The 6,131-nt window shown below is 50.5% G+C and overlaps 1 annotated feature.

Annotated features, from left to right (window-relative positions):
* Positions 1,219-1,753: an enhancer, noted in NCBI's record as "H3K4me1 hESC enhancer chr17:63579618-63580152 (GRCh37/hg19 assembly coordinates)". NCBI's record gives its function as "activates a minimal SCP1, AML or CMV promoter by ChIP-STARR-seq in naive H9 embryonic stem cells {active_cell/tissue: H9 hESC(naive)}" and the evidence as "EXISTENCE:reporter gene assay evidence [ECO:0000049][PMID:30033119]".

Below are 6,131 nucleotides of genomic sequence, written 5' to 3'. Positions count from 1 at the left end.
GGGGGGTTGGCTAAGAAGGGATCTCCTAGCTTCTGGGCCCTGAGCAGCAATCAGAGCCTCCTGGGGCCTGCGGGACTTCCTGGTGGCGCCACCAGCCCTTTTAGTGCCAGCACGTTGGCCTTGGCTTTGCTGGCTCTTCCAGCAGCCAGCACTGTCCCTGCCAGGAACTGTGATCCCACAGCCAAGGCTTTGTAGCCTCTTCATGGAGAGAGAGGCTGTGCAGCTTCCTCTTCAGCTGGGCCAGGGTCCCTTGGGGTTCCCTTTCTTCCAAGGCCACATCCCTTAAGAAACAAAGCAAGTCCTTCTCAGGTGCTCGTGATCCTTGCAGGGGGTGCCTCAAGGACCTTCCAGGCAGGTGGAGAGAGGCAGTGACCTAGTCTTGCAGGAAGTGTCCTCAGTCTTCATGCAGAAAGCCTTGGGGACCTGGGCAAGAGAAGAGTTAAGTTCTGGGCTGAGGCTTCAGTGTTCAATTTCTTTATTTCCTGTTGATGACATTATTGCCTTCCTACAACCATTGACACATGTTGCTTTCATCTGTTTCATTTCAAGACATGAGTACACTCGCTGGAAACTATGCTTAATAGCTAAACTCAAAACATTTGGATTTCCTTTCCTTCTGTGACTCTTTGCTGGTATGCTGCATTCTCTAGTTTTTTTGGGTGGTGGTGGCATGTGTGTTTTTTTCAGCCACCATTTCTAAGCAGCAAAAAGAGAAGTCACTGGCTCTCTGGCCACCTGCCTCAGGCCCATCTGCTGCATATGGGATATTTCCCTTCGCTGGAGGAGGCCTATGTTTGCCCCATGTTGTGGTGGTTGGAGAGCATCTCTTCGTCCTCTTCTTTTACCCAGCTCCTTCCCCTGCCTGTCAGGGAGAGGACCAGCCTTGTCAGGGAGAGGACCATACCTACAGGATGGGCAGATGGCTTCTTCCAGTTGCTGTGTGCCCTGGAGCCTGCACCTACCCTTCCCACCTTCCCCAGCAGTGCAGGGCTGCATGACTCATGGCTTGGACCTTCTGAACAGAGCCTCCGGAATAGAGAGGTGAGCTTGTCAGTCTGGACCCGAGGACTCAGGGGAACAAATAGGACTTGCTGCCTGGGCTGCCTGTGGAGGGGATCTGGGCAAAGCTCCCCTTGGCCAGACCTTGGATGGAAAGCGGCCATTGGAAGCAGGCCAGCCTCATCTGGTTGGAATAGGGTTTGACACGTGTTTCCAAGCCTGGTCGCAGAGCTGCAGCTGCCACTAGCCCTTCCCTGGGCCCGGACTGCGCTGCCCGTTGACAGTCTGCAAAGCAAGCAGTCAGTCTGCTATGGAAGGGTTTGCAAGGTGGATGCCCCCCTAGCCTGGGGTGACTGCCCAGCCCCCACCAGCCTCCTGGGAGGGACATATTCCCAGGAGGAAGCCAGAGGGGAGCGGGAGGGGAAGGCAGCCACAGTCTGACTCCCTAAGATGAAGAAAGTCACTTGCGGTATGCATGGACCTTTATGTCCATTTCTCCTTTTATCCTTCCCGTAACAGAACGGCTTATTCCCATTTTGCAACTGGGAAAAGTGAAGCCCAGGAAGGGTGAGAAATTTGCTCAAGCTAGGCCAGGTGTGGTAGCTCACACCTGTAATCCCAGCTGAGGATTACAGCTGGGAGGCTGAGGCAAGAGGATCACCTGAGGTCAGGAGTTCGAAACCATCCTGGCCAACCTGGTGAAACCCCATCTCTACTAAAAACACACAAAAATTAGCAAGTTGTGGTGTCAGACACCTGTAATCCCAGCTACTCAGGAGGCTGAGACAGGAGAATCATTTGAACCCGGGAGGCAGAGGTTGCAGTGAGCCAAGATCATGCCATTGCACTCCAGCCTGGGTGATAGAGCGAGACTCCGTCTCAAAAAAAAAAAAAAAAAAAAATCAGAAAAAAGAAATTTGCTCAAGCTCACAGAGTTGGGTTTGTTTTGTTTGAGACAGGGTCTCATACTGTCGCTCAGGCTGGAGTACAGTGGCGCTATCACAACTCACTACAGCCTTGACTTCCCAGGCTCAAGCGATCCTCCAGCCTCAGCCTCTCAAGTAGCTGGGACCACAGGTGCAAGCTTTCATGCCTGGCTAATTTTTAATTTTTTTTGTAGAGATGGGGCTATGTTGCCCAGGCTGGTCTCGAACTCTTGGGCTCAAGCAATCCTCCTGCCTCGGCCTCCCAAAGTGCTGGGATTACAGGTGAGCCACTGCCTTACACAGCTTTTAAATGCTGAAGTTGGGATATGGGCCCAGACTTGAGGTCACCAAAGCCAGTTTTCTTTGGGATGCATCAAACCTGTCTGCCTGGAGGGAGATGGTGGTGGGTGCACTAGGCTTGGTGGGTGCGCTAAGCTAGACTTTAAGAAGATGGCCGGGCTCGGTGGCTCACGCCTGTAATCCCAGCACTTTGGGAGGCTGAAGCAGGTGGATCACGAGGTCAGGAGTTCGAGACCAGCCTGGCCTACATAGTGAAACCCCATCTCTACTCAAAAATACAAAAAATTAGCCAGGTGTGGTGGCAGGCACCTGTAATCCCAGCTACTCGGGAGGCTGAAGCAGGAGAATCGCTTGAACCCAGGAGGTGGAGGTTGCAGTGAGCTGAGATTGCACCATTGCACTCTAGCCCAGGCGGCAGAGCGAGACTCCATCTCAAAAAAAAAACCAGAAGAGTCCATACTCCTCCCATTTTTCTCCTCGGTCCCTCTCTCCCACTTCATCCTGGGCCTCTTCTGTTCAGCAATCCACATTTCAGGCAAATAGGAAGAAAGTCCGCTAATAGACAGGTAAGCGTGGTTGTGTGCATTTTATCCAGGAGGAAGAACATTTGAGGCCATTCTGCTGTGCCTTTCAAGTCCGCAGATCTGGCCAAGAGCCTGAGATAGCAGGAAGTGTGAAGAACAGAAACTTCAAGGGAAGAAGTGTGTGAGGGGATGGAAATGCTAGAGGCTTATAGGGCCAGGAAAGTTATCACTCCTATCTGTCTGTACTCACTCACAAAAGTCCCCTCGCTCAGGAAATGGACTCCCGGTTCTATCAAACTCATTATATATTTTCTTCCACTTTCTTGTCCGGTATTTCCAGGCTGCTGGTGTCCTGGTTTGGGTGTGTCTGAGCATCTGTGTGTGTGTGAGCATATGCATGTGTGTGTGCACACGTGTGTGAGTGTCTGCGTGTGAGAGAGAGAAAGAGAGAGAGAGGCTGGGCGCAGTGGCTCACAGTTGTAATCCCAGCACTTTGGGAGGCCGAGGTGAGCAGATCACTTGAGGCCTGCAGTTCAAGACCAGCCTGGCCAAGATGGTGAAAACCCGTCTCTACTAAAAATATGAAAATTAGCTGGATGTGGTGGCGGGCGCCTGTAATCCCAGCTACTCTGGAGGCTGAGGCAAGAGAATTGCTTGAACCCGGAAGGCAGAGGTTGCTGTAAGCCAACATCGTGCCACTGCACTCCAGCCTGGGCGACAGAGTGAAACAACATCAAAAAAAAAAAAAAAAAGAGAGAGAGAGACAGAGAGAGAGCTGAGAGTGTGTGAGGCAGTACAGAATGGGGATCCACCAAACGTTGTCTGAGGATGTGATCAGCACAAGATAGGCAATGCCAAGGTGCCTGTCAAAGGTGACGAGGCCCAGTTTCCCTGGCAGTTTGTTTCCAACAGGCCTGGCTGAGACTGTCTAATGGCAAAGCCCCAGATGGACATCCAGGGGTGCACAATGTCCCAACAGCCTAGAACTCTAGCTCTTCTATAGCCCTGGTTGAAAGACACAAGACCAGGCGAATTTATAGTATGTGACTGGGTATAAGAAGGCATTCCAAAATGGCAGGGTCACCTGACATGCTGTGGATTTCCCTTTTTGGTGGTTCTCTATTTTATTAAAAGTTATATAGGCTGTATGCGGTGGCTCACACCTGTAATCCCAATACTTTGGGAGGGTGAAGAGGGAGGATTGCTTGAGCCCAGGAGTTCAGGATCAGCATGGGCACTGTGGCCAGACTCCATCTCTACAAAAAAATTAAAAAAAAAAAAAAAAATTAGCCAGGGCCAGGCGTGGTGGCTCACACCTGTAATCCCAGCACTTTGGGAGGCCGAGGTGGGTGGATCACCTGAAGTCAAGAGTTCGAGACCAGCCTGGCCAATATGGCGAAACCCCGTCTCTACTAAAAATACAATTAGCCAGGCATGGTGGCAGATGCCTGTAATCCCAGCTGTTCGGGAGGATGAGGCTGGAGTATCCCTTGAACCCAGGAGGCGGAGGTTACAGTGAGCCGAGATCACCCCATTGCACTCCAGCCTGGGCGACAAGAGTGAAATTGTCTCAAAAAAAAATAAAAATAAAAATAAACAAATAAATAAATAAATTAGCCAGGTGTGGTGACACACACTGTAGTCTTAGCTACTCCAAAGGCTGAGGCAGGAGGATCACTTGAGGCCTGGAGTTCAAAGTCACAGTTAGCTGTGATAGCACCGGTGCACTCCAATCTGGGCCACAGAGTGAGAACCTGTCTCAAAAGCAATAATAATAATAATAGTATAGAGCCATAGAAATTTTGGAAGGTGTAAGATAACATTTTTCAGTTGCAAGGACCAGAGACCCTCTCAGTTGACCTGAAGGGAAAATGTGGGTGTGTTGCAAGAATAACGTTGCTTGTGGGGGAATTGGCCAAGGTGGCTGCTGTTGACTTCTCTGTCCCCAGGACTTGGCTTTCTCTGCTGGCCTCTGGCCCCTGCCCCCTCATAGCCTCAACAAGCCCCTCGCCCAAGGTGGCCATTCCTCTAGCAGTGTTCTGGTCCCCTCCACGGCTTCAATCCAGTGGAGCAAAATTTTTTCTTTGTTTCCCAGTTCACATTTCTGAGCTCAAGAAGAAAGCTGAACAAATAACTCAGCTCATCATTCTAGGCCAGATTACTCAAGTCACATGGTGTTGGCCTGCCTATAGCTGGCTACCCACAAGTGACATCCCAGTCAGCGGTGCCTGCGAAGGCGGAAGGGGGAAGTGGGTGGGGGTCACATGGTACAAAAAATAGCCAGCCAGGCCTGGCTTCAGGAAGGGGCTGGGGTGGCCAGCAACAGAAACATACTAATGCAAATACAAAAAGCAAGAAAAAAAACGTTCCACAATCCCATCCTCTGTACTGGTTGTTGTTGTTGCTGTTTTGTTTTGTTTTTTGTTTTTGAGATGGGAATCTCACTCTGCTACCCAGGCCAGAGTGCAGTGGCATGATCTCGGCTCACTGCAACCTCCACCTCCCAGGTTCAAGCAATTCTCCTGCCTCAGCCTCCCAAGTAGCTGGGACTACAGGGGCGTAACACTATACCCGGCTAATTTTTTATTTTTAGTAGAGACAGGTTTTCACCATGTTGGCCAGGCTGGTCTTGCACTCCTGACCTCAGGTGATCCACCTGCCTCGGTCTCCCAAAGTGCTGGGATTACAGACATGAACCACCGCGCCCGACCCTGGTGGTTTTTTTCGATGTATTTTACCTGGTTGAGTACATATTCTATCCAGTTTTGCACCTTGCTCTTCAGAGTTAATATTACATCATAAGCATTTCCAATATCATTACAACGCCATTACCATTTCAATGACTATATAATGTTCCCATGTGGGGCCATGGTTTTCTTAATCCCCTATAGGCATAAATGTTATTTCCTAATTCCTATGATTATACATGACCCCACATGCTTGGAATGGTTTCAGGAATCTACAGGATGACATCTTAGACTCCACTAACTCTAGGAGTGTTTAGGAAACCTGGCTCTTTCGCTTGAAGCGGAGGTATGATGGCTTTTTGGAAGAGGCCACAGGGATAGCGGGAATACATTGGTTGGTCCCAACCTCTTAGCATCTGCCTATATCCTTGCTGTTGTCCTTGAATGCTGTACCTGAGAGCTAGACTCAAGGCCCAGACCAGGATCTCTCCTCTCCCTGCCAGCCTCCAAGGAGGCCAACGACAACCCAGGCTGTGAAAAGGGAGGAAGAGTGAGTGGGTGCCTTCTGAAGTCTTTGCTCCGATGAGTCTGTCCACCTTGGAGGTGAGGCTGAGCTGCCTCCCAGGCTAAGATATGCAGTGAGGAAGAAGAATGGGGATAGGAGAGCTGCTAATATAAGAGTCTTGGAGGCAGAG

The sequence above is a fragment of the Homo sapiens genome, chromosome 17 (assembly GCF_000001405.40).
Source record: "Homo sapiens chromosome 17, GRCh38.p14 Primary Assembly".
NCBI lineage: Eukaryota > Metazoa > Chordata > Mammalia > Primates > Hominidae > Homo > Homo sapiens.
Note: the sequence above shows the minus strand (reverse complement) of the source record. Positions and strands in the feature narration are given on the sequence as shown.